This window comes from Homo sapiens, chromosome 1 (genome assembly GCF_000001405.40).
Source record: "Homo sapiens chromosome 1, GRCh38.p14 Primary Assembly".
NCBI classification, from domain to species: Eukaryota; Metazoa; Chordata; class Mammalia; order Primates; family Hominidae; genus Homo; species Homo sapiens.
Window position 1 is genome coordinate 16,901,336 of NC_000001.11, and position 24,882 is coordinate 16,926,217.

General features: G+C 51.3%; 1 protein-coding gene across 9 annotated transcripts in view, besides 13 other annotated features; it reads left to right on the top strand.

Moving 5' to 3' along the window:
* Nucleotides 2,493–2,772: an enhancer, noted in NCBI's record as "active region_271". NCBI's record gives its function as "activates an Ori minimal core promoter by ATAC-STARR-seq in GM12878 lymphoblastoid cells {active_cell/tissue: GM12878}" and the evidence as "EXISTENCE:reporter gene assay evidence [ECO:0000049][PMID:35858748]".
* Nucleotides 2,959–3,598: an enhancer, noted in NCBI's record as "NANOG-H3K27ac-H3K4me1 hESC enhancer chr1:17230789-17231428 (GRCh37/hg19 assembly coordinates)". NCBI's record gives its function as "activates a minimal SCP1, AML or CMV promoter by ChIP-STARR-seq in primed H9 embryonic stem cells {active_cell/tissue: H9 hESC(primed)}" and the evidence as "EXISTENCE:reporter gene assay evidence [ECO:0000049][PMID:30033119]".
* Nucleotides 3,243–3,292: an enhancer, noted in NCBI's record as "active region_272". NCBI's record gives its function as "activates an Ori minimal core promoter by ATAC-STARR-seq in GM12878 lymphoblastoid cells {active_cell/tissue: GM12878}" and the evidence as "EXISTENCE:reporter gene assay evidence [ECO:0000049][PMID:35858748]".
* Nucleotides 3,393–3,442: an enhancer, noted in NCBI's record as "active region_273". NCBI's record gives its function as "activates an Ori minimal core promoter by ATAC-STARR-seq in GM12878 lymphoblastoid cells {active_cell/tissue: GM12878}" and the evidence as "EXISTENCE:reporter gene assay evidence [ECO:0000049][PMID:35858748]".
* Nucleotides 3,599–4,238: an enhancer, noted in NCBI's record as "NANOG-H3K27ac-H3K4me1 hESC enhancer chr1:17231429-17232068 (GRCh37/hg19 assembly coordinates)". NCBI's record gives its function as "activates a minimal SCP1, AML or CMV promoter by ChIP-STARR-seq in primed H9 embryonic stem cells {active_cell/tissue: H9 hESC(primed)}" and the evidence as "EXISTENCE:reporter gene assay evidence [ECO:0000049][PMID:30033119]".
* Nucleotides 3,599–4,273: a biological region, named in NCBI's record as "Sharpr-MPRA regulatory region 252".
* Nucleotides 3,979–4,273: a silencer, noted in NCBI's record as "tiled region #252; HepG2 Repressive non-DNase unmatched - State 5:Enh". NCBI's record gives its function as "represses a minimal TATA promoter and a strong SV40 promoter by Sharpr-MPRA in HepG2 cells {active_cell/tissue: HepG2}" and the evidence as "EXISTENCE:reporter gene assay evidence [ECO:0000049][PMID:27701403]".
* Nucleotides 12,489–13,228: a silencer, noted in NCBI's record as "silent region_337". NCBI's record gives its function as "represses an Ori minimal core promoter by ATAC-STARR-seq in GM12878 lymphoblastoid cells {active_cell/tissue: GM12878}" and the evidence as "EXISTENCE:reporter gene assay evidence [ECO:0000049][PMID:35858748]".
* CROCC (ciliary rootlet coiled-coil, rootletin) overlaps nucleotides 12,750–24,882 on the top strand; it is a 58,880-nt gene continuing 46,747 nt past the window's right edge. For 3 of the 9 annotated variants that reach the window (NM_014675.5, XM_047435115.1, XM_047435117.1), the window contains exons 1-3: nucleotides 20,596–20,743; nucleotides 21,328–21,463; nucleotides 22,990–23,144. In NM_014675.5, coding sequence (NP_055490.4) covers nucleotides 20,684–20,743; nucleotides 21,328–21,463; nucleotides 22,990–23,144 — 351 coding nt within the window. In that variant the 5' untranslated portion in view covers nucleotides 20,596–20,683. Of the gene's footprint in view, nucleotides 12,803–16,992; nucleotides 17,099–20,595; nucleotides 20,744–21,327; nucleotides 21,464–22,989; nucleotides 23,145–24,882 lie in introns of those variants that run through there. The other 6 variants (XM_006711058.4, XM_047435135.1, XM_047435134.1 and 3 more) reach the window with 5 other exon arrangements.
* Nucleotides 19,238–20,010: an enhancer, noted in NCBI's record as "H3K27ac-H3K4me1 hESC enhancer chr1:17247068-17247840 (GRCh37/hg19 assembly coordinates)". NCBI's record gives its function as "activates a minimal SCP1, AML or CMV promoter by ChIP-STARR-seq in naive H9 embryonic stem cells {active_cell/tissue: H9 hESC(naive)}" and the evidence as "EXISTENCE:reporter gene assay evidence [ECO:0000049][PMID:30033119]".
* Nucleotides 20,011–20,782: an enhancer, noted in NCBI's record as "H3K27ac-H3K4me1 hESC enhancer chr1:17247841-17248612 (GRCh37/hg19 assembly coordinates)". NCBI's record gives its function as "activates a minimal SCP1, AML or CMV promoter by ChIP-STARR-seq in naive H9 embryonic stem cells {active_cell/tissue: H9 hESC(naive)}" and the evidence as "EXISTENCE:reporter gene assay evidence [ECO:0000049][PMID:30033119]".
* Nucleotides 20,783–21,554: an enhancer, noted in NCBI's record as "H3K27ac-H3K4me1 hESC enhancer chr1:17248613-17249384 (GRCh37/hg19 assembly coordinates)". NCBI's record gives its function as "activates a minimal SCP1, AML or CMV promoter by ChIP-STARR-seq in primed H9 embryonic stem cells {active_cell/tissue: H9 hESC(primed)}" and the evidence as "EXISTENCE:reporter gene assay evidence [ECO:0000049][PMID:30033119]".
* Nucleotides 21,555–22,326: an enhancer, noted in NCBI's record as "H3K4me1 hESC enhancer chr1:17249385-17250156 (GRCh37/hg19 assembly coordinates)". NCBI's record gives its function as "activates a minimal SCP1, AML or CMV promoter by ChIP-STARR-seq in primed H9 embryonic stem cells {active_cell/tissue: H9 hESC(primed)}" and the evidence as "EXISTENCE:reporter gene assay evidence [ECO:0000049][PMID:30033119]".
* Nucleotides 22,510–23,120: an enhancer, noted in NCBI's record as "H3K4me1 hESC enhancer chr1:17250340-17250950 (GRCh37/hg19 assembly coordinates)". NCBI's record gives its function as "activates a minimal SCP1, AML or CMV promoter by ChIP-STARR-seq in primed H9 embryonic stem cells {active_cell/tissue: H9 hESC(primed)}" and the evidence as "EXISTENCE:reporter gene assay evidence [ECO:0000049][PMID:30033119]".

The following is a 24,882-nucleotide window of genomic DNA, read 5'->3' on the forward strand; positions in this document are numbered from 1 at the left end:
AATTTCTAAAAAAACTGAGAAAATTGCCTCCATTGAGGAAGTAAGCTGAAGGAGGTAAACTGTCATGTTTTCTGAATTGAGAAATATTGAGGAGGCTTTGTCTCTTTCACCTCCAGCTGCTCCTTCTCCTCCTGCCCCTGCACCTGCATAGTCTTTCTTACCTGAGCCTTCCTGTCCTGCCTTGCTTCTTCTTCCATCACCACCACCTGGGGAAAGTCCCCAGGGCTCTGGCCACTTCCCCAAAACTTCTGTTCTGACAGCCCCTTTAAAGGTAAAACCCAAACCCACAGGAAGAGGGGAGCCTACCATTGTGTATACCACTTCACCAAAACGTGAATTAAGAATATTATAAAGGACTTCCCTGATCTAAACTTAAATACATTTCACTCTTCTGTTTCTAAAGCAGGCTCCGAGATTCTATAGGCTCTGGCAGAAAATTTGACTTAACTGTTGAAACCTTTGAGCCCAAATATTCTGACCTTTATCAATCAATTCACATGCTGGTGAAGAAGGCAAGGCCACTAACTGGTTGCAAAGGCAAATTGGAAGGATTTTCAAAAAGGGACTGAAGCAGAACATGAAAGGTTCACATTTTCACCAAATATCTCCATGTTGCCACTCCCCAGGTCCTTCCTAAAAATATAGATTGGAGGATAATTCAGCATTGTACTAAAAAGCCAGACAAATCTGTCTTTGCTTAATTAAAATGGTTTGAGAGCCAGGTGTGGTAGCTCATGTCTTTAATCCCAGCACTATAGGAGGCCAAGGCGGGCGGATCACTCGAGGTCAGGAGTTCGAGACCAGCCTGCCAACATGGTGAAACCCTGTCTCTACTAAAAATACAAAAATCAGCCAGGTGGCTACTCAGGAGGCTGAAGGAAAAGAATCGCTTGAACCCAGGAGGCAGAGGTTGCAGTGAGCTAAGATCCTGCCAGTGCAATACAGCCTGGGTGACAGAGAAAGACTGTCTCAAAAATAAAAATTAAAAAAAAAAAGAAAAAATCAGCAGCGTAGTAGAAGTATAATGCACACAAGAATGATAATCATGAAGACAATCTGATTCTAGAAGAGTAAGGGAACCTATTCCATTAGAGAGCCAACTGAAAACATCAAATCCCAGTTCACACCCCAGGGTGTGGGGGCACGTGCCTGTAGTCCCAGCTACTCGGGAGGATTAGTAAGGAGGTTTGCTTGAATATGTGAGGTCAAAGCAGAAGTAAACCCTGATCATGCCACTGCACTCCAGCCTGGGTGACAGTGAGACCTTGTCTCAAAAACAAACAAACAAAAAACCCACAAAACCAAACAACAACAAATTGTCACCTCACTCTGAAATGACAGTGGCAAACATCACTTTGCTATTGGAAAATTAAAAGAAAAACACTCCCTCTTGCTATCAACCTGCCCTCTTGCTCTAACATGTCTGACCCATGGTTTAAAATGCCCAAAAGCTGATGTACTCAAATTATAATACACTTACCTGTTCTGCACCAGCATTTATTTTTGTCTGGAGGAGATCACCATCCATGGTCCTGTAAATGTCTAACGGCATGGAATGATGAAGGGCAGTGTCTTTTAGGATATTTGGTTATATCTATATATATGGCTCTGAAGAAACCCAACATTGGGCGAGTTCCCTCAAACTTTTCACTAGGCATGACCACTGCTCTATTTTAGATAGAGATTCTGTGGGGCAAAACCTGAGAATTATCTGCCTGGCTATCAAGAAGATAGCTCCTTGCATTTTTTTGGGGAGAACACTTGCTTCAAGGGAGTGTTTCCTCCCAGGATTACAAATCTTTTTGTAACCTCAGGAAACATTGCTGATGAAAACCAGGCATGGTGGCTCTGGCCTGTAATCCCAGTGACTCAGGGGCTGAGACAGGAGAATCACTTAAGCCAAAGAGTTTGAGGCTGCAGTGAGCTATGATGGCGCCACTGCACTCCAGCCTGAGCCACAGAGCCAGACACTGTCTCTGAAAGAAAAAGAAAAAGAAAGAAAAACATTGCTGATGAAACTGCGGCCTCTTTTGCAGCTCTATAAAAAGGTATTTAGTCACTGGCTAAGGTTGTACTAGATAATCACATCACTTTAGGTGATACATTTAGCTGAGCAGGGAGATGTGTGGTGGCAAATACCTTTTGTTGCATATACATATACATTTCCCATGTAGTAGAACCTTCTCTAGAAAAAATCAGAAAAGAAGCCACTTGGCTGCAAGAAATCACTAAAGAAGAAATGGGGTTTGATGTTTTCCCTGATGTTTTCAGTTGGCTGAAACATCAAATCCCAGTTCCCTGGTTCCCTTACTGTTCCAGGATACAGATTCTCTTTGTGATGATCATTCTTGTATGCATTATATTTCTACTACTCAAATTATTAATGTTATGTATTTCTCATTGTTTTACTTCTTTTGAGAAACTAAATTCATGGTACTCTGAAAACTAGAGATGATTCAACAAGTGACAGCAACTATAGAATTGGCCGAGATATCTCTCTCTCTCTCTCTCTCTCTTTTTTTTTTTTTTTTTCCATGTTGTGATGCCACACCAGTTCAGCTTTTGGACGCTGTTAAAAAGAGAGGTCTCCTTCCCTCCCCTGACCCCCGTGTGGGACAGGACTATCTGGGAATGAGCCATTCTGGCAAGGAGGGACACAGCTTTTGATCGACAATGCTTTCAAGAAATACTTTTTTTTTTTTTAAACGGAGTCTCGCTCTGTCGCCCAGGCTGGAGTGCAGTGGGCGATCTCAGCTCACTGCAAGCTCCGCCTCCCGGGTTCACGCCATTCTCCTGCCTCAGCCTCTGCGAGTAGCTGAGACTACAGGCGCCCGCCACCACGCCAGGCTAATTTTTTTTTTTTATTTTTAGTAGAGACGGGGTTTCACCGTGGTCTCGATCTCCTGACCTCGTGATCGGCCCGCCTCAGCCTCCCAAAGTGCTGGGCTTACAAGCGTCAGCCACCGCGCCCGGCCAAGAAAGACTTTTCATCTAAAGGGAGAATGGGGAAAGAAGAGAACTTTTTTATTTTCAAATTCTCAGGCCCAGCGAGGCATTACATTGAGACAGCAACCACATTCTGCTTCCTTTTTGTACACTACTGTATTTGAAAAACAAAAAAACAAACCTACAAGACTCATAAAACTGGACAACTTTCTTTATAACACTACTACTCGTAAAACCAGTAAGGATGGCTGGTTTGCAGTTATCTGAGCAGCTTCTCTAGTTTCATAGACATGATTTCTCTCTGTTATTAAAGGGCTCCCAATTTTAAGTGGAATGCTACTTCACAAAGATAACCAGGTTTGAAAGGGTCCGGTTTGCTTTGTAATCCGAAACGTTCCAGTCTGCTATTAAAAGCCATTATTTGAAGACGGGTGCACAGGCTTCCAGCTGCCCGCCAGAAGGGTCCTCCGCAGGACACAGGTTAAGTAATCACTTCTTCGGGGGAGACTAGATGCAGGGTCTCGGCGCACCTCCCCAAAAGACAAGGGCGAGACAGAAAGGAGGGACAGGCGGACGTCACTTCCCCCGCCGGCTGCGGCACCGGGTTGGTGGGCTGAGTGGAGGAGGGTGGGGCGGAAGAACAGAAGGGGACTGGGAAAGGCACTGTTGGTGACATCACCGATAGGGCGTTTCTATGTAGATGAGGCAGCGCAGGGGCTGCTGCTTCGCCATGAAGGATTTCCCGTGCTGTAGGAGCAAGTCCGGGACCGCTGGCTGGACGTGAGCGTCCTAGCTGTGCGTTAGGGCTAGGAGGGCTCAGGGTGATTGGGGATTGGCTGGGGTGGTGCTCGGGGCAAGTGACCGTGCGTGTAAAGGGTGAGGCGTATGGAGCTGTGGCGGGGCGGAAGTTCACATGTGTGGTATGTAGAGCACATGTTATGGTTATCAAAGTGGTTTACTGTAAGGCTGAGGGCTATGCATTCTATGGCTATGTTGTTGTCTCTTATTTTTCCAAACGTGGAAACCTCTGTTTTGTAACTTGTAGTAATAAGGTAGAAATTAAAAAGAAAAAGTATTTTCCTGTACTTGCTTGGCTGCAAGGTCAGGAACAGATAGTTTCTGAAAAACCACATCGCTGAGAAATGAGTTCTGGAGACTCTCTTAACAGTCTGTTATCCCTAGGAAGGATAAGAGCAAGAAACAGCAAATGCTTTTATTACCTTCTCTTTTCCCTTTACCATTTCTCACTATTCAAGTTTTGTTAAGTTCTTGATTTCCCTTCAGTGCAGCTGCAAGGTCACCAGCTATTCTTGCCTCGTGAGACCTGTCACAGTTTGACTAGCTGCCTTTGTTCTGCTTCTGTAAGCCCTCTTGCCTGCCCCGCGAGTTTGGTGCCATCATAGTCCCACCATGCCATTCAAACTAGCCAACCCCCTTTTTGAAGTGTGTATAAAAGTCAAACCCTGTCTTTGTTCGGGGCTCAGCCTTTGGATTTTAATCCTCTGGGCCTGAGGGCACTCAATAAAATCCTCCTGTTCCACCCATTGGTCTCTCTGTTCTCCTGATTCCCACAACAGTAGTAGGGGACTGTGTCTGCACTTTCCCCTGGTCTTTCACGGTATGAATAATAGCCTTTTTTTTTTCGCCTATAGTCGCAGGCTCGGTCTCAGTGATTTTATGGTGTGGTCAGCTGTTTTTGTTTTTGTGAGACCTTGTTTACTGTCCTGGGACAGATGTCTGTAGTCACTTGTTTCCTTGGGAGGCAAATTTCAGTCTCTGTGGCAGAGGTCTCTCATGTTAGCTGTGGTGGTACTTGGCAGGCGGAGCTCAGGGATCTAGGCTTCCCTGCTTTGTAGACTGCTCAATGGTCCCCAAGGCCTACTGGCTTTTACCACCACTTGAAAACCTTAGTGTTTTTCCACTGTCCCCAGAGTCACCTCTTACACAGACTTATTTTGTTTGTCTTTTTCCCCGAGACAGAGTCTCACTCTATCTGGTAGCATCTTGGTTTAAGCGATCCTCCCACCTCAGCCTCTGGAGTAGCAGAGGCACGAGTCACCACAGCCAGCTAATTTCTGTTCTTGGTTTTGTTGTGGTGGTGGTTGTTTTGTTTTTTAAGAGTTGAAGTTTCACCATGTTGCCCAGGTTGGTCTCCAACTCCTGGACTCAAATAATCCGCCCTGCCTTGGCCTTCTAAAGTCCTGGGATTACAGGTGTGATCCATCACACCTGGCCAGCCCCTGCTTTTCACTATAGCATTCATGGGAGTTTGCAGGATTTCTGTGCTGGGGGGAACGTGTACTCAGCTCATACAGCCAAGTAGAAATTGTACTTGGAACTGGTGCCGTTGGGTTGTAGACATAACATGCTTGCTGTTTGTATGGGAAGGGCTTTGCCAGTGCTCTGTGCCCCTGTGCAGGGCATCCAGGCCTGCAGGTCAGAACGGCAGTCTCACCTATGAGTTTGTGTAATACGCAGCAATTCTCCCTGGAATATAAGATGGGTGGTCTTGTGAGGTTCCTACAAGTAAGAAGACAAATTTCCCTTCAGTTTGTATTGACAAAATTCAAAATTAATAATAACAGCCCAACCTCTTGAATGATAAATGTCCTTTACATTGACAGACCAGAACTGCCCTGCTTGCCTCAGCTCCTCTGTGCAGGTGCAGCTCACAATTCCCCCCACACAGGTCATTTCCTCCCTGCTTTCTCCAAAAGAGGGAGACAGCAGTTCTGCAGGACCACAGGGCTCAAGGCCTTCCAGGGCCAAAAATCTCAGAAGAAGTTGCCCGTTCTGCCTGTACCTCACGACTGACCTAGAAATGGCCTTTGCTAGGAGCAAAGTAGGGGGAAATGGTCGCCAGAGCTGGGGCCTGGGTACTGGGCCAGGTTACCCCACAGGAGGGGAAGTACTCAGGGTTAGAGGGGGCCAAGCACCAAGACCTCAGCATCCTCAACCTCCAAAAGGACTCAGAGAGATGCAGAAACCGAGACAGGGTTCCTCTTTCAAGGAAAGAGACTTTTGAGGAAGACCCCAGGGCTCTGAACCAAAATCCAGATTTTTCCCCATCTGCAGCTTAATTCCACCTTAGTTGGTGCAACTTCATCCTTCCCCTATGCTCAGGACAAAAAACAGTTCTTCTATAGGCTGGTCATTCTCTGGCCCCATACATCCTATTGGTCAGAAAATTATGTTTTTTCTTTGGTTAACTGCAGACTTTGGTCTGCACAGTCTTTTTCTTTCTTGGTCTGAAAACCACCCAGTAGTCCCATATGTAGCTTTTTTGGATAAACCTAGAAATTGACCCTGCTGGTCTTAAAGCTTGAAACTTAATATTTGTTTCGTCTGAGTTCCTTCCTCAGGAAACAACCTTCAGGCCTCTCAAAAAAGCCATCAAAGAACTGAAATTCATCCAGACAATGAGATGCTGGGACCCCTCATTCATCATGATTGCTTCCTTGCTCCTCCCTAGTTCCTGTTTTCTTACACATTGTTACATTTCTTCCCTGCCATATAAACCTCTGGTTTTGTTGGTCAGGGAGATGGATTTGAGACTGAGTTCTCATCTCCCCCACTGCAGCACCCTATTAAAGCGCCTTCCTTGGCAATAATCATCTCGGTGATTGGCTTTCTCTGTGGCAACCAGCAGGAATCCCAGATCTCTGAATTTTGGCAAAGGAGTCTCCTGATAAAGGTGGGATGGATTCTACTGACCAACATCAAAACGATCAGACATTTGAAAGCCTTAATCTCAGGGTCGGGGTTTGGGCCGCCCTTGGGCCTTTTCCTTGGGCCTAACCATTAAAATCAGCCTAGCCAGGTCTGTCTTCCAGGCACAGGGGTAGGGCCAGATACTCCTGATGCTTTTTGACGCTTCTCCCACTGGGTGGGCAACAACCCTCCCCTTCCCTGTGACCTGCAGAGAAGCTTCAGGGGGCGTTTATTCAATTTGCTAGGAGCCTACAAAGCACAGGTACACGGTGACTCTGTGGTTCCCACTGCACCTGCCACTCTCCTTGGTCCCCTCACTGTCTCTGGCAGGCAGTAATGTTCTGGGTGAGCTTGGGTGCTGAAGACACCCAGGCAGGGAGGGTAGGGAAAGGCACCAGCCCCTTAGGTCCTGCGCATTAGGGATCCAAAAAACATCTGAAGAAACAGAAAGGGAGCGTTGGAAGTAGATCAAAGGGAAAGAAAGAAATCCTAGGAGATTTCCTATCTGAAGGCACCATGAAGAGAAAGTCCGCCTCCTCTGGGCCGCGTCCTCCTGTTGCAGGTGAACCGAGTTCCGGTCTCCATTGGAAACCAAAGCAGGTAACTTTGCCCTGACTCCTAGTTAGGAAGCCATGCTTTGTCCTCCCCTGTTTAGCACTTGATCCTGTAGCACTTGATTGTCTCTCCCTGGCTTTCTATGGATTCCAGAGATGCAACTGAGAAGTTTGTTTTTAATGCACTTTTCCTTAAAGTAAGAGTATTTCAGGCCGGGCACGGTGGCTTACACCTGTAATCCCAACACTTTGGGAGGCAGAGGTGGGCATTTTACTTGAGGTCAGGAGTTCGAGACCAGCCTGGCCAACATGGCGAAACTCTGTCTCTACGAAAAATACAAAAATTAGCCAGGTATGTTGGCACCGGCCTGTAGTCCCAGCTACTCGAGAGGCTGAGGCAAGAGAAACCTGTGAACATGGGAAGGGGAAGTTGCAGTGAACTGATATCAAAAAAAAAAAAAGTATCTTTTGGCAAAGGAAATGATTTCTGACAGGTTTTGCACTTAAGACACTCAGGTGTGAGGAAAACATGAAAACCACTATGCTAGGGAAAGCAAATGCTGTTGAGAATGTCTCATAAACACAAATTACATGTCAGCAGGTAGGTTTGACCCTCAGGTTGGGCACATTTTACTTTAAGTTCACTGTCGGTGGAACTTAAGATGAATCTAAGACATTCACGATGTATGTATGTATGTGTGTGGGTGTGTATACATATACATATATGTATACATATATATACACACACACATATATATATATACACACATATATATATGTCTCTCATATATATATGAGAGACAGAGTCTTGCAATCTTGCCCATATTGGTCTCCAACTCTGGGCCTCAAGCGATCCTCCTATCTCCCCATCCCAAAGTGCTGGGACTATAGGCATGCACCACCTCGTCCAGCCCATTTTAATGTTTTTAATTTAAATACACATTCCCAAAATTATATAACAAGTACAGGAAGCCCACTTTCAGCCAGTTTTACAAAAACAAAGTGGCAACATCCTAAAGTACTGAAAGAAATAAAGTTTTCCTAGAATTCTATGTCAAAGTGAAAAATCTTTCAAGAATATGACTGAAATAAGGACATTTAAAAACATATAAAAAATGAAAGAATTCAGCAACCCACACTACAAGAAATGCAAAAGGAGTCCTCCAGGCCTAAAGATAAGGATACCAGACAGAAATCTGGATCTACACAAAGAAATGGAGACTACTGCAAATCGGTATGTACATAGTTAAATATATATGTTCTTATTATTTAAATCTTTTTTAATAATTTATTTATTTTAAATTATTTATGATTTAAGTCTTTTTTTAATAATTAAAAAAAGCAATAATAATGGATTCTGGGATTTATAACATGTCTGAAATCAAGTTACATGACAACACTAGCATAATGGCCAGAAGAGGAGGTATAATGCCACTAGATGGCACTGATAAAGGTGTATTCAGGAAACCCTGAAGCCCTCACTGAAAAGGCAAAAGCAGGGAAAGAAGTCGGGGAGCGGTAGACCAGAAGAAAGAAAGAGTTATAGCTAATAAGCCAACAAAGGAAAGAAAATGGAATGATATAAAAACCATGTAATCATTATGCTGGAACAACTGCTCTTCATGCACTCCAGCCTGGGCGACAGTGAAACCCTGTCTCAAAAAAAAAGCCCACCCCTAGGGCTGGGCATGGTGGCTCACGCCTGTAGTCCTACCACTTGGGGAGGCCAAGGCAGGTTGATCACCTGAGGTCAGGAGTTCAAGACCAGCCTGGCCAACATGGTGAAACCCCGTCTCTACTAAAAATACAAAACAATTAGCCAGGCATGGTGGTGGGTGCCTGTAATCCCAGGTACTCAGGAGGCTGACGTAGGAGAATTGCTAGAACCCTAGGAGGGGAGGTTGCAGTGAGCCGAGGTCATGCCACTGCACTCCAGCCTGGGCAACAGAGCGAGACTCATCTCAAAAAAAAAAATCGTACACTTAAAAGGTCACGGAGGCAAGCAAAAATCACCTGGTGGCTGCAAAGCAGACCATCGAGAGGCAAAACTCTTTATCTGGGGAATTTAGAGGCAATTAGACTTCCTTATTATTTAAAGCAAGAATCTAGTTCCAGGCTTCTTTCCCAAAAATTTATAACTAACTAGAATTTCTGGGGTTTTTTTTTTGTTGTTGTTTGTTTGTTTGTTTGAGACGGAGTCTCACTCTGTTGCCCAGGCTGGAGTGCAGTGGCGCAATCTCGGCTCACTGCTACCTCCGTCTCCCGGGTTCAAGCAATTCTCTGCCTCAGCCTCCCGAGTAGCTGGAATTACAGGTGCCCGCCACCACACCCGGCTAATTTTTGTATTTTTAGTAGAAACGGCGTTTCACCATCTTGGCCAGGCTGGTCCTGAACTCCTGACCTCGTGATCCACCCGACTCGCCCTCCCAAAGTGCTGGGATTACAGGCGTGAGCCACCGTGCCCGGCCAGTAACTAGAATTTCTATACATCTCTGGAATACGTGCTTATCAAAACTTGTGCAACCCTTGCTGACATTAAGGCACCAAAATGTCTACAAATGTAGTATTCTGTGAGCCACCGCACCCGGCCTACAAAATGTTTTTTTAAAAAATTATTGTGTTGGGAGTGAATTATTGGGCTGGTGGCTCATGCCTGTAATCCCAGCACTTCAGGAGGCCGAGATGGGTGGATCACTTGAAGTCAGGAGTTCCAGACCAGCCTGGCCAACATGGTGAAACCCCATCTCTACTAAAAATACAAAAATTAGCTAGGCGTGGTGGCGGGCACCTGTAATCCCAGCTACTTGGGAGGCTGAGGCAAGAGAATTGCTTGAACCCAGGAGGCAGAGGTTGCAGTGAGCCGAGATCGTGCCATTGTACTCCAGCCTGGGTGACAAGAGCCAAAAAAAAAAAAAAAAAAGAAAGAAATCATTATTATTTCTACAATATGGGCTTATCCCTGTATTACTCTTCTGAACTTTTCACTTAATATATCGTAACCATCTCTCCAGTCATTGAATGTTCTTCTATAACATTTGGAATGATATCATAGTATCCCATTATATGAATAACCCATGGTTTATTATACAAGTCCCCTACTGCTGAACGTTTAGGTCTTTCTAACTTTTTGCTATTAAAGTCTGGCATGATAGACTCTGCAAGTTAGCCTTCAGATGCCCAGCAAATCCAGTTAACCAGAGCACTGTCCTCTAAGCCTCCTGGTGAATGTGGTTTTGCTGATGGTGGGCAGAGTCCACCCCAGCCGAGCCGCTGGATTTGGCAGGCACTTGGCCTTAGCAACCTGAGGGTGGTAACTCCAATCAGTTACTTGTTTCCCTGTTACCTGAGTTGCAGATTTAGAGCCCTCTGCAGTGAGCAGGTGAGCACCTGGCATGATTCTTTTCTGGTGAGTGGTCCTGGGGGTCACTGGGCCAGTCACCACCTGGTGACAGGACAGGGTGACCGGTGGGTGGCAGCACTGGGGATTCAAATGACCGCAGCCCGGTCAGGCTGAGCTGAGCAGAGCCAAGGACTCAGCACAGCAAGGAACCTAGGCTCTTCACAGAGAAGGGAGCTGGAGGACCCCCCAAGGAGATGAGTATGTGCCACCCTGCGGCAGGGTCCTGTGGGCTTTGGGAGTGAGAGGGTCAAGGGGAGAGGAGCTGTGTTTGCCACCCCCTGTTAAAAACCTCAAGTGAAGCAGCATGGTAGAGAGGAAAGAGCATGGGATTGGAAGCCATTGAACTTCCTGCTGTGTGTCCTTGGGCAAGTGACTACATGTCTCTGATCCTCAATCTCCCCTTCTATAAAATGGAGATGATCCTAGAACCTGCTTCACGGGAGTGTTCAGAGGGGACTGTAGACAGAGCGGGAACATAGAAGAGGAAGTAGGCGGCAGTGTGGTTCACAGCCAGCGCAGGCTGCCTGCAGGGTGCAGGTACTGTCACCAAGGGAGACCCAAGGTGCCCTGGAGGGAGTGGCAAGGACACAGGCCTGAGCCCAGCCCTGGTGATATGAACACTGGAGTGGGCTTCACAGGGACAGGCAGCATCAGAACTGGACTAGTGAGGTCATGAGCCCACCAGGGCCTGGGTAGGGACATAGCAAGTCTGGGGACTCCAGACAGGGTCACACAGACCTGGGCCATGCTGGGCATCCAGGGACTGGCTGTGCATACTGGCAGATGTCAGTCAGCCCTCCTGCAGTTGGGCCAGGGACACCTCAGGGAAACTGTGACCTTCCTTCCAATCTTGGTAACATCACCCTTCCACCCCAAATCCCAGGGAATGGCCCGAATCTCTCCTGACAAACAGCTCTCAGCCCTGGTCCAGGCCACAGTCTTGCTTGCACCGGGCCGGGTTTCAGAGCCCGAAGGGCACACTGGCAGCCTTTAGTGCAGTGTTTCAGATGTCACAGACAGGTTCCTCTTTGACGAAGATGGAACTTCCACTGCTTCCCTCCTACCACGCAGGAAACACAGAAGCAACCATCAGCCGAGGGCCTGCTGGCCGTTCTCTCTGGGTACTGTGTTTGGAAAAAGCACAAAATCATTAACTTAAACATGCTTTTTCAAACCAAACACATCCCTCTCTTAGCCCTGGAGATTCAGAGCTGCCTCTCCCTTTGAAAATGAATGATCTCGCCCGGGTGCAGTGGCTCACGCCTGTACTCCCAGTACTTTGGGAAGCTGAGGCGGGTGGATCGCGAGGTCAGCAGTTTGAGACCAGCCTGGCCAATATGGTGAAACCCCGTCTCTACTGAAAATACAAAAATTAGCCGAGCGTGGCGGCGGGCGCCTGTAGTCCAAGCTACTCAGGAGGCTGGGGCAGAGGTTGCGTTTAGCCAAGATCATGCCACTGCACTCCAGCCTGGGCAATAGAGCAAGACTCCCTCAAAAAAAAAAAAAAGCATGATTTCATCCAATGCCTTCAATAACAGAAGGAGGTCCAAGTCCAGTGAGAGGGTGGAACGAACATACTGTCACAGTGGAAAGGACACGAGACAGGCGCGCCACCGGGTTGAGTCTCGCGAACAAACTGAGGCCAGAGTGCCTTCCCCAGGGCTGCACGTCAGTCAGGAAAAAAAAAAGCATTCTCTCCGACAGGTCAAATCACCGAAGCCTCGGGATCGTCGCTGGGGGCTGTGACGGGGCTGGCATGAAACGTCCCTCTGTCTGGCTGGGCGATGGGTCAGTGCTCAGGAGTTTCAGGCCTTTAAGGCCCGGCCAGACCGCAGGGGGACTCTGCAGCCGGGTCGGGGTTTCGATCCTGCGCTGCGGCCTTGCAACTGCGAGGACTTGGGGGTCGTGCTTCGTTCGCCTGGTATCCTCGTTCGTGCGTGTAGGAGGCGCCTGGCTTGCCGGGCGGTGCCAGGCGGCAAGAGGGAGGGCGCACGGAGCGTGTCCGCCCAGGGCGGCCCCTGTAAGCGCTGCAGAAGCGCTGCTCCCGGCGCCCGGCCCCGCCCCAGCCTCCGCCCCACTACCGCGCAGCGCAGGCTCCGCCCCCAGTTTTCCCCGCCCCGTGGCGGGGACGCCCCGCCCGGTCCGGCCCGCTCGGCCTCGGCAGCAGCGGCTGCGGCGAAGGCGCGCGAAGGTAGGTGGCCGGGGGCGCGCGCGTGCGCGGGGGCGGGACGGACGCGCTCCCGGCGGAGGAGGCCGCGCGCCTGGGGGCGGGCTGGAGCCACGTACCGGGGCTGGGGGCGCTGTGTGTTCCGCGACTGCCGCGGCCCGGCACCGGAGGCCAGGAGAGCGTTCCCAACAGGCTCCGCGGATGCCCCGCCGCGTCCTGCCGCCCATCCTGCCCGGATTGTCGCGGGCCGGGGGCACGACAGGAGACTGGGGCCTGCAGGGCGCAGCCGTCCCTCCGCCGGCCGGGGTCCCCTCGCTCCGCGGGCGGCCGTGGGAGGCCCTCGCGACGGCCTCTGCCCCCCGCAGATGCCCTCTGCAGCTCCTGCGTGCGGGCCCCGCCCTGCACTGCCCTCCTCGTGTGGGATCCGGTTTCGTCTTCATTGCAGCCCTGCCGAGTCGGAAGCATCTCCATTGTGCGGATGGGGAAACTGAGGCCCAGAGCGCATAGTTGGGCTGGCCACGGAGGCAGGGCCGCCGGATGCTGTGCGGGGATGGGGCCCTGCACCCCTTGCGCCTCTCACCATGCGGCCTCAGGCCTCTGTGCCCGGCAGCGTCTCTGGAGTGGGCATTTTGAACGAGCTCCCTCCTGATTTTCACACAGACTTAAGCCTGACGACCATGCTGGGGCGGATGTCTGCCCCTCTGGTGACCAGGTCACAGCTCCCTTGGGAAGACGATTGACTGGGGAATGGGGACCCTGGGGAGGAGGACTTCAGGGTGCCATCTGTCTGTTTACGCCAGAAAACAGAGATTTCTGTTTTCTTTCGCTGGGCTCACAGCAGGTGCTTAATAAACAGATCTTGTGGCGGGAGCAGACGACAGCGAGGTTCAGGCAAGACTCCAGGAGTCAACCCCTGGATCTCGGAGGCTCCCCACCCGCGCACATTTCCCTGACTTAACCCTCCCCTCCCCAAGTCTTTCAGCCCTTTCCACCCAAGTGGCCCCTGTGGGGGTCACTGCCTGGTTTTCACCCTGATCTTCTGGGATGCGGCAGATGCTGGCTGGATATGTGTTCGCTGGTGTCCTTCCGTGATCCCCGTCTGTGGCTGACACCATCTGTGGCCCAACATGACCCCAGCCAGAGCCAAGGGGAATCATTTCTTTTTCCATTTAACATCCTATGTTATTACTTGGCTCTTAGCATTCATTAATTCATTCAGCAGCTCTTCATGGAGCTTTGGCCTTAGCCCATGCACTGTGGAAGTGACAGTGAGCTAAGCCAACCTGGCACTTTGGGAGGCTGAGGTGGGAGGACCGCTTGAGCCCAGGAGTTGGAGACTAGCCTGGGCAACATCTCATCTCTACAACAAGTAAAAAATTAGCCAGACGTGGTGGCACGCACCTGTGGTCCCAGCTACTCAGGAGGCTGAGGTGGGAGGATCCCTTAAGCCCAGGAGGTCAACGCTGCAGTGAGCCATGATTTTGCCACTGCACTCCAGCCTGGAAAACAGAGCAAGACCTTGTCTCAAAGAAAAAAAAAAAAAAGGAGGAGACAGACAACATACATGTTGGAGAAAATGGAACAGCCACTGGAGGGACCTCTTTAGCTGAGAGTCGGGGTAGCTCCCTCAGAAAGTGATATTTTTGAGCCAAAATCTGGCCGACAAGCGGGAGTCAGCTGTGCAAAAGAAGGGGGAAGTGCGTCCCAGGCAGAGAAAGTGGCAGTGCAAAGGCCCAGAGGTGGGTGCCTGCCTGGTGTTTGAGGAATCAAGAAGGCCATGAGCAGCCAGGTGTGGTGGCTCATGCCTGTAATTCCAGCACTTTGGGAGGCTAAGGTGGGTGGATCACTTGAGGTCAGGAGTTTAAGACCAGCCTGGCCAATACAGTGAAACCTCATCTCTACTAATACAAAAATTAGCTGGGCGTGGTGGTGCATGCCTGTAATCCCAGCTACTCGGGAGGCTGAGGTAGGAGAATTGCTTGAACCCAGGAGGTGGAGGTTGCAGTGAGCTGAGATTGTGCACCACTGCACTCCAGCTCAGGCCTGGGCAACAGATCAAGACTCTGCCTCAAAAAAAAAGGCCATGAGAGAAGGGGAGAGAGGAGATGAGGTGGGAAAAGTGGAGTGGGGCCAGATCTGGTGGGCCCTGTGGGCCATGGAAGGACTTTGAACTTCATTTTAGGTGTGGTAAGGGCTAGTAGAGGGCCTTGGGTAGGGGAGGGGTATGACCTTTACTGTGTGAAACTTGAGTGGGTGAGGGGATGAGCAGGGAAGCATAGAGACCCTCGGGGAGCCATCTCAGCAGTCCAGGCAGTGGCTTATATAATACACATCGGCGTCCTGGGGTGGTGCCAGGTACACAGCAGGCGCTGCAGGATGGAAGTCATTGCTGTTACTGTTTTTGTTTATTTGAGACAGGGTCTTGCTCTGTCACCCAGGCTAGAGTGCAGTGACACAACCACGGCTCATTGCAGCCTCAACCTTCCAGGCTCAAGCAATCCTCCTGCCTCAGCCTCTCAAGGAACTGGGACTACAGGAGGTGCATGCCACCATGCCAGGCCAATTTTTTTTATTTTTTTGGCAGAGATGGAGTCTCACTGTGTTGCCAGGGCTGGTCTCAAACGCCTGGGCTCAGGCAGTCCTCCTACCTTGGCCTCCCAAAGTGTTGGGATCACAGGTGTGAGTCAGTGCACCCGGCTTGCTGTTATTATTTAAAACTCTGGGCTGGGCGCAGTGGCTCATGCCTATAATCCCAGCACTTTGAGAGGCCGAGGCGGGTAGATCACTTGAGGTCAGGAGTTTGAGACCAGCCTGGCCAACATGGTGAAACCCTGTCTCTACTAAAAATACAAAAATAAGCTGGGCGCGGTGGCGCATACCTGTAATCCCAGCTACTCAGGAGGCTGAGGCAGGAGAATTGCTTGAGCCCAGGAGGCGGAGGTTGCAGTCAGCCGAGATCGTGCCATTGCACTCCAGACTGGGTGACAGAGCCAGACTCCATCTCAAAAACAAAACAAAACAAAAAACAAAAACCCTTTGGAATCAGGCACACCTAGGTCGCGGCTGTGACTTGAGCTCTTTGTGGCTGGGTGCATTGGAGCCAATTATTTAACTTCGCTGAGACTTCACGCTGTCATCTGTAAAGTGAGTAGGGTGGTGCCAGGAGTGTTAAAGCAGGTAAGGGACAGATGTAACGTTTTGGGCACAGGGCCTGGCTCGTGGTTGGTTCAATATTTTTGTCATAATTTCTAGTCAGCAGCAGGAGGATAACGAAGGGGTAAGCGGATAAGAGCAGCTGCTATGTTTGAAACGAGTAATCTTTGAGGGGCTTTTTGGCTAGTTCCTGCCGCTAGCCCTGGCAAAAGGCAAGTTTGGAGGGTGGTAGTGGGGAGGGAAGGGTACAAAGGGTGTCTCCTCTGTATTTGGTCACCAAATAATGTCTCAGCATCTAGAACAAGGCACAGGGTTCTAGCTTGGGGACTAGAAAGAGCCAATAATACTCATGATAGTAATGATAACAGTAGTAATAGCCAACACTTACCCGCTGTTGAACTGCAGGTAGTAATTAAGGTAACACTAGCTAATGTGATAGTGAAACCCTGAATTCTCAGAGGCTTAGCGCAATAGAAGTTTATTTCTCATTCATGAAAAGCCCTGTTGGGTGTTTGGCAGGTGGCTTTCTATGTGGCGACCCAGGGACCGAGATCCCTTCTGTCTTGTGGTTGCGGCATCCCCTAGGACCTTGGAGTTATTTCCTTCTAGCTGATGGACCAGGAAGGAGAGAAATAATTTTATGGACCAAGCCTAAAGTGGCACGCTGTCTTTCTGTCTTAATTCTATGGACCAGAACTTGACCACATGGCCGTATCTGACTGCAAGGGAGTCTGGGAAATGGCTTTTAGCCATATTCCTAAGAGGAATCGGAAATGCTTTGTGGTGAGCACATTGCAGTTTCTGCCACACCATATCCAGGCATATAGCTTAGCACGGAGTATTTTATTTAATGCTCATGCTAGAAACAGGCACCATTATTATCCCATTTTGCAGATGAGGAAACTGAAGCTCAGAGAAGTGAAGACACTGGTGCAGGGTCACACAGCTGGTGAGGGGCTGGTGAGCCAAGATTGGAGTCCAGGTGGCCAGATGCTGAAGCTGTTAGCATCCAGATTTCTAAGAGGAATTCAGTCTTTTTTTTTTTTTTTTTTTTTTTGGAGAATTGGGTGGAAGCAGTGGACACATACACGAGGTTCAGATATGACTTCCTGGGACCCACAGAACCCAGCAGGACTCTGGGGGAGAACTTTGGGGATGGAGCCAAGGGTGAATGTCACCTGGTGCCAGGGGCTGACATCCTGTCCCCTTCCTCCAACCCTTAGGGCCGTGGTCAGGAGAAGGCACAGAATAATCCAGTTCAGTCCCTCAAGGACATCTGGGGCCCCCTCTGCTGAGCTGGGCATGCAGGGCTGGACATGCTGGTCCAGGGGTATTTTTGGCTTCCCCCCTGTTCTGGTGGGCAGGTGTGCAGCCTGTAGAGGGGATTTTTTGGAGGCTGCCTAGAGGTAGAAGAGTGGGCGTCCCTGGGGTTTGTAGTGGCAGCTCTATCTGCTGGCCGGTTTAGTTTTTTGTTTTTGTTTTTTTTTTGAGACAGAGTCTCTCTCTGTCACCCAGGCTGGAGTACAGTGGTGCGATCTCAGCTCACTGCAACCTCTGCCTCCCAGTTTCAAGTGATTCTTGTGCCTCAGCCTCCCGAGTAGCTGGGACTACAGGCACCCACCACCATGCCCAGCTAATTTCTGTATTTTTAGTAGAGACGGGGTTTCACCACGTTGGCCAGGCTGGTCTAGAATTCCTGACCTCAAGTGATCGACCTGCCTCGGCATCCCAGTGTTGGGATTACAGGCATGAGCCACTGCACCTGGCCAGTAGCTGGTTTAGTTTTGCCCAAATCTGGCTTGCTTGCCATTGCAACTTGGCAACATTTATCTTTTCAGACCTGTTTCTTGGTTTTCCATTTGCAGGGCAGTTTCCTTAGTTGGGCGTGAGCGGTCCAGCCTGGACTGATGAGCATTTATACAGCACCGTGGCATTCTGGGTCTGACCTGGATACAGAAGTAGAGCCTCAAAGCGCAAATGCCTCGGCCTTGCCCTTCAGTCACTCATTGGGAGGCTGCTGGTCTAAGTGGAATGAGCTTTGGGCTCACCACTTCCCTGAAGCATGTCGCCTTGAATAGGTGAGAGCCCAATGTCTCTGAGCCTCAGTTTTCTCATCTGGAAATAGGTTGAAGTAAGGATTTAATGAGATAATGTGAATATGCCCCCTTTGGGGCACAGCATGGAGCAGAGGGCACCCAGGGACGGAGGGCTGAGGCATAGCAGTGTAGCAGGACAAGCCGCAGGCAAAACTCTTCAGTCACCAGGTTAAAGAAGGAAGGAACTTTATTCGGCTGGGAACTTCAGGAGACTTGTGTCTTAAAAGCCGAGCTCCTCGAGTGAGCAATTCCTGTCCTTTTTTAGGGCTTACAACTCTAAGGGCAGGAGCCCAGACACGTGATGCTAATGACAATAGGAACAGTGGCCCCCATTGGCTAATAGCTCACCACCTGCCAGGTGTGGTAGGTACTATCAGTCGCATTTTTTTGTTGTTTTTGGTAGGACAGAGTCTCGCTATGTTGCCCAGGCTGGTCTCAAACTCCTGGGCTCAAGCGATTCTCCCATTTTGGCCTCCCAAAGTGCTGGGATTATAGACCTGAATCACCACACTCGGTCTAGTCTCATTTTATTTTATTTTATTTTTTTGAGACAGACTCTTGCCCTGTCACCCAGGCTGGAGTGCTGTGGCACAATCTCGGCTCACTGCAACCTCCTCCTCCTGGGTTCAAGTGATTCCCCTGCCTCAGCCTCCTGAGTAGCTAGGATTATATGCACATGCCACCACGCCCCAGCTAATTTTTTTTATATTTATTTATTTATTTATTTATATTTTTGAGACGGAGTCTTACTGTGTCGCCAGGCTGGAGTGCAGTGGCATGATCTCGCCTCACTGCAACCTCTGCCTCCCAGGTTCAAGCGATTCTCCTGACTCAGCCTCCCAGGTAGCTGGGACTACAGGTGTGCACCACCATGCCTAGCTAATTTTTGTATTTTTAATAGAGACGGGGTTTCACCATGTAGGCCAGGATGGTCTTAATCTCTTGACCTCCTGATCCGCCTGCCTCAGCATCCCAAAGTGCTGGGATTACAGGCCAATTCTTGTATTTTTAGTAGAGATGGGGTTTCACTATGTTGGCCAGGCTGGTCTCAAACTCCTGACCTCAAGTGATCTGCCCGCCTCAGCCTCCCAAAGTGCTGGAATTAGAGGCTTGAGCCACTGCACCTGGCCTGGTTTAGTCTCCTTTTAGAGATGAGAAAACTGAGGCTCAGGGAGGTAACCTGTTCAAGGTCTTACTGTCTTGAACACCATAGTTGCAAGTGACAGAGCTGAGTCTCACATGCAACCTCAGACCTGATACTGACTCCAGAGCTGTGCGCCTAAGCACTAGAGCACATAGCCTCCTTGCCCCAGGGAAAGAACAATGGGAGGTGGTGGGTGACCTCTGGGTCTCAGGGCCCTGGGATATAGGGACTGTGCCTTTTTTTTTTTTTTTTTTGAGACAAAGTTCCACTCTTGTTGCCCAGGCTGGAGTGCAATGGCGCGATCTTGGCTCACTGCAACCTCTGCCTCCTGAGTTCAATCGATTCTCCTGCCTCAGCCTCCCAAGTAGCTGGGATTACAGGTGTGCACCACCACACCCGGCTAATTTTTGTATTTTTGGTAGAGACGGGGTTTCACCATATTGGTCAGGCTGATCTTGAACTCCTGACCTCAGGTGATCCACCCGCTTTGTCCTCCCAAAATGCCGAGATTACAGGCATGAGTGCCTGCGCCTGGCTGGGACTGTACCTTCTGGATTTTCAAATGAATGAAATGAGTATTTCTTGAGTGTTGGCCACGTGACCCCCCAGCACCATGTCATGTGCTGGGTATGCACACACGATACTGTTTCATCCCCGGACGGCTCCGAGAGATGAGTACCAATATTATCACATCTTACGTAAGAGGACACTGAGTCTCAGAGAGGCAAAGTCAGTGTCCCTGGTGCACCCAGCTAGTGGGGGCTGGGGTGGGTGTGAAGGGGCCAGAAGCTTCCCAATAAGTGCCTGAAGGGCAAGGCTAGGGCATTTGTAGTTCGAGGCTCTACCACTGTGTCTAGGTCAGACCTAGGAATGCCGCAGGTGTTGCATAAATGCTCATCAGTCCAGGCTGGACCGCTCATGCCCAACTAAGTGCCAAGCCTGGCCTGGGTGATCTCACAGCCTGCATTCTTTGCCCTACACCTGTTGTGGGAAAACATACTCCCAGCATGCTGTAAATCCTCTCATTCTTAGCTAACCATGTGACTCCCGTTCTGGGCCAGAAAGATGGTCACAAATACTTAGGACTCTGGCCTTTCCCGCCGCATGGCTACTGACCCCACCCCCTGGGCTTGGAGGGCTCTAGGACCCAGCAACCTGCGCAGGGTGAAGAGTGTGTGAGGTCCTGACCTCCAGGTGTCTCCCCTGTTTCCTCCTCCCATTCCCTCTTCTCTCTCCTCCCTCCTTTTCTCTCCCTTCTCCTCCCCTCTCTTCATCCTTCCTCTTCCTTTGGCTCCCTGCCTCTGCTTCCCTCCTCTCCTGTCCTTTCCCATCCCCTCCCTCCTCAGCCCACATCCTGCTCCTCCCACCGCGGTGGTCACATGGGGGCGCCGCCGGATTTAAGCTTAATCTGCCTGGTGCTCAGCACAGCATCCTGGCTGTGGCGCGTGCTGACTGAGCTAGTCTTGGGGTCCTGGAGAAGGGGGCTGGAGGCATGCCCACAGCCTCCCCCCCATGAGCTTGGGGCTGGCGGGGGCACAGGAGGTGGAGCTGACACTAGAGACGGTTATCCAGGTGGGTCCTGGGGGCTGTGCCCACCCTGTCTGGGGCGGGGCAGCGTGGACTTAACAGGAGTGGTGAGAGGTGTGTGCGTCTTGGGGATCAAGGGGTGGGAGAGGTGTGGTGGTGGTGGGGTATACAGGGGCCCCCCGCTTGCAGTTCCTGGCAAGATGGGGGGCAGAGGTACACACAGGGTGCACCTGCTGTGGCTCCCTCATCCCAGTGCCCTGGGTTGGGAGAAGGGGGTCTCTACTGCCAGATTTTAGGGCTTGGGGGACCTCTGGCATAGCCAGATCCTCATCCATCTAGGGTCGGAACCGGATTGGGGCCCCCAACACTGGACTGCCTCCAGTGGGGTTTGGGAGTTACCCGTAGGGTTTGGTTCTCATCTCTGGCCCTGGGCCTTCTTCCTGGGGCAGTGAGCACACAAGAGGCTCTTTGCATGGGGATTTTTTGGATTCTAACTCCCAGGCTTCACTCCATCTTGAGGGGGCTCCTGGGGACCTGTATCTTGGGCAGTAGGATTCTGTGGCTCTCCCCACGAGGCCAGGGAGCCCCGGGTCCCATGTCCCCTGAAGACCCTCTCGCTTTTCCCACAGACACTGGAGAGCAGCGTCCTGTGCCAGGAGAAAGGCTTGGGCGCGCGGGACCTGGCCCAGGACGCTCAGATCACCAGCCTGCCTGCCCTTATCAGGGAGATTGTCACCCGCAACCTCTCCCAGCCTGAGAGCCCAGGTGCCACCCCCATCCGCTCCCCTCCACAAACACCACCCACATTTTACCTCTTCTCATGTCCCTTTCCTGAGCAGTCACCATGATGATCATGACTGTAACTCACTGTGGGGCAGGCACAGCTTTATGACAGAAGAACCCATTTTACAGATGAGGAAACAGAGGCTCAGGGATGTAATTTGTCCAGACTTATTCCGCATGTGGTGCAACTAGAAGGAAGGGCCGAGCATCTCCTGCGTGCTTGCCTGTAGCCTGCTGCAGAGATGTGAACCCCAAATCCCGTATTCCCACCCGGGGAAGGTGTGAGCTGGCTGAACCCAAGATACAGGAAGAGGGCAGCTCAGCTCAGACCAGGGTTTTGCGGAAGTCTGAGTGGATGGCGCCGTCCATCCGTTTCCCACGTGGGCAGGAAGGCGGATGGTCCCTGCTCCTCTCAGTGGGTGGCGCACACGGTGTAGTTATGTGGCTTGAGGATCTGGGAAAGGCACACTCAGTTGCAGCTGGTGTGCTGGCGTGTGGCGTTTTGGTGCTCTAACCATTGTCTGTGTTCAACTCCCAAGCTACAGACGGGCCCCCTCCTTGGGAGCGCCAGGGATGTTGGCGCCCTGGAGCCCCAGACAGGGAGAGACTCAGAGGGCCCTCACCCTGACACCTGGGGTGTATGTCCAGTTCTCCCAGGGTAGAAGGGGAACCCACAGGAGGTGGACAACCCCGCTTCTCCCGCTGGCCTTTCTTTCCCTCTTCTCTCTTTCTCCTTCTCCTCACAACCTGACCTATGCTATGCTCTCCTGAGCCCTAGCCTTTAAAGTTCCATGAAGCCCTTCTCTTGAGCGAGGCTTTGATGCTTTTCTGGGAGGATCTGGTTACTACTATTCTACCTTTTTTTTTTTTTTTTTTTTTTTTGAGACAGAGTCTCGCTGTGTTGCCCAGGCTGGAGTGCAGTGGCGCAATCTCAGCTCACTGCAACCTCCACCTCCCCGGTTCAAGTGATTCTGCTGTCTCAGCCTCCCAAGTAGCTGGGACTACAGGCATACACCACCATGCCCAGCTAATTTTTGTATTTTTAGTAGAGACAGGGCTTCGCCGTGTTGGCCAGGCTAGTCTCAAACTCCTGACCTCAGGTGATCCTCCTATCTCGACTCCCAAAGTGCTGGGATTACAGGCGTGAGTCCGTGCCCGCCCCACCCATATTACAGATAAGTAAATCTGAGGCCCCGGAGAAGAAGACTAATTGGAAAAGGAGGGAGCAAGAACTCAGGGGTCTCCTGGCTCCTAGACTGAGTGTCTCTCCTGCACCTCCCAAACCTGCTGGGCCACACTTTAGCTGGAGTTGTGTTCACTTTACGTCCAGCTTTGTATCCCCTCCTTGCCTTCCTCCCTGTTCTCAGCTCTGTTTGCAGGCCTGGTGCTGCAGCCATTCCCATCTGGACTCCTCCCAGGGGCCTGGATGGTTTTCTTGCCCTCCCTGTTGGGGGGAGGATGTCCCACTGGACCCAGAAGCCAACCATGTGCCCACTGTCCCTTGCCAGTCCTGCTGCCGGCCACAGAGATGGCATCGCTGCTGTCGCTGCAGGAGGAGAACCAGCTGCTGCAGCAGGAGCTGTCCCGCGTGGAGGACCTGCTGGCCCAGAGCCGTGCCGAGCGCGATGAGCTCGCCATTAAGTACAATGCGGTCAGCGAGAGGGTGGGTGCCGCCCAGGTGGTGGACTAGGCCAGGGTTCCCCTCGTTCAAGGGCAGGGAGGCATCTAGACCAGGCCCACACACGGGGCAAAAGATGGGCCCTGGAGTCAGGTTGGCCTGGGCTTGGATTGAGGCTCTGCCACCTTGAGTGGCGTTGAGCAAATCACTATGCTCTTTAAGCCTGTTTTCTGTAGTGGGGATTGTAATGGGACGTGGAATTGTAGGAATCAAGGAGATAATAGAATAAAGTGCCTGGCACCAGGGGTATTTTGTTCCCATCTGTCCCAGGCCTGTTAGGGGTGTGGGACACGGAGAATGAGATCCCTAAAGATTCCTGCCCCTTGAGTTTCTGGGCATCTCCCATTGCCACGGGCCTTGGGGTTGAGGCGGTGGCTGGATGCTGGCTCGAGGCTGGTGTGGGCACCCGCGGTGTTCTGCAGCCCATCTGGGGCAGCCACAAGACCTGCCGCCACTGCCTATTGGAATGAGTTCCAGGCAGGGAAGGAAGGAGAAGCAGGCCTGTCTTCATGTCCAGGCAGGATTCACATCACCCGTGCTGCAGGCTTGTGGGGGTCCCAGGGTGTGGGGCGGGAGCTGGGTGTGAGCCGGTGCGAGGGGTGCGGGATGCTCTTGATGCACTGTCTGCTTTGGGCCTCCGGGTGGCCGGGAGGTGGCCCTGGGAAGTTGGTGGTGGCTGAAGATTGGTAAGGGACACTCGCAGCTGGGACAGAGTGTATGTGTGCAGATGAGAGGCATGCAGGTGGCAATAACGTATTAACAGTAGCTACTGTTTATTGAGTGCCTACTATGTGCCAGGCGCGTGCTGAGTGTTTCACATTTAATACACCAAGGTCGGGACCATTATGATGCCCATGTAACAGAGGAGAAAACAGAGGCTCAGGGAGGGGAAGCACCATGCTGGGGGCACACAGCCAGTTAAAGTTAGACACCAGGTCTTCCAACTCCCAGCCCAGGGCTCTGTTTGGTTTCTAAACTAACCCAGTCTAGAAACAAAGTTCTGAAGTTTCATTTCCTGTGTATGGGAAGAGACACTGGGCTAGGGATTTCAGGGCACAGCTGGCCCCCACAAAGTTGGAAGGGACCCAGAGAGGCAGGGGCTGGCCCAGGGTCCCCTGTGTGGTAGTGGCAGAGCTAGGGTTGGCATGGGACCCCTGAGCTGGACTTGTCCAGGCTGGAGCCCGCATTGGCAGGAGGGTGTGTGTTCCTGTGTATGACTGTGGGGTGTGCCCGTGTCCTGGGATTTGCCTGGCTGGACAAACCCACGACTAGTTGGGACTTGTAGAGGAGCAGAGTAGGCGGCCCGCAGTGGCCCCTGGCATGAGGACAGTGGAGAGCTCGTTTCCCCAGGGTCTGCAGCGGGTGTGTAGGGCACGCTGGCCCCAGTCATGAATTGTGGGTGGTGATGGGGCCCTGAGCCAGGCACCCCTTTCTTTTGGTCCATGCATGGCACAGTGCCACACCCCCAGGGCCGCCTCTTAAATGCCACCTTCTGAAGCTAGCCCTGCCCCCAGGTTGGCAGGGAAGGGAAGAGGTGGGAGGTAGCAGGTTCCTCCTCTGCTGGGACACAGCTGCTGGGGCTGGGACTGCAGCACAGGGGGTCTGGGTTAGTCTAGAAAGCTCCCTCCTGTGGTTAGTGGGGGCCCAAATGGCACGCAGAGGGCGCCCGCTGCTTCAGTTGTCCTCTATCCACCATGGTTTGAATGAGGCCCCACCTGGAGGC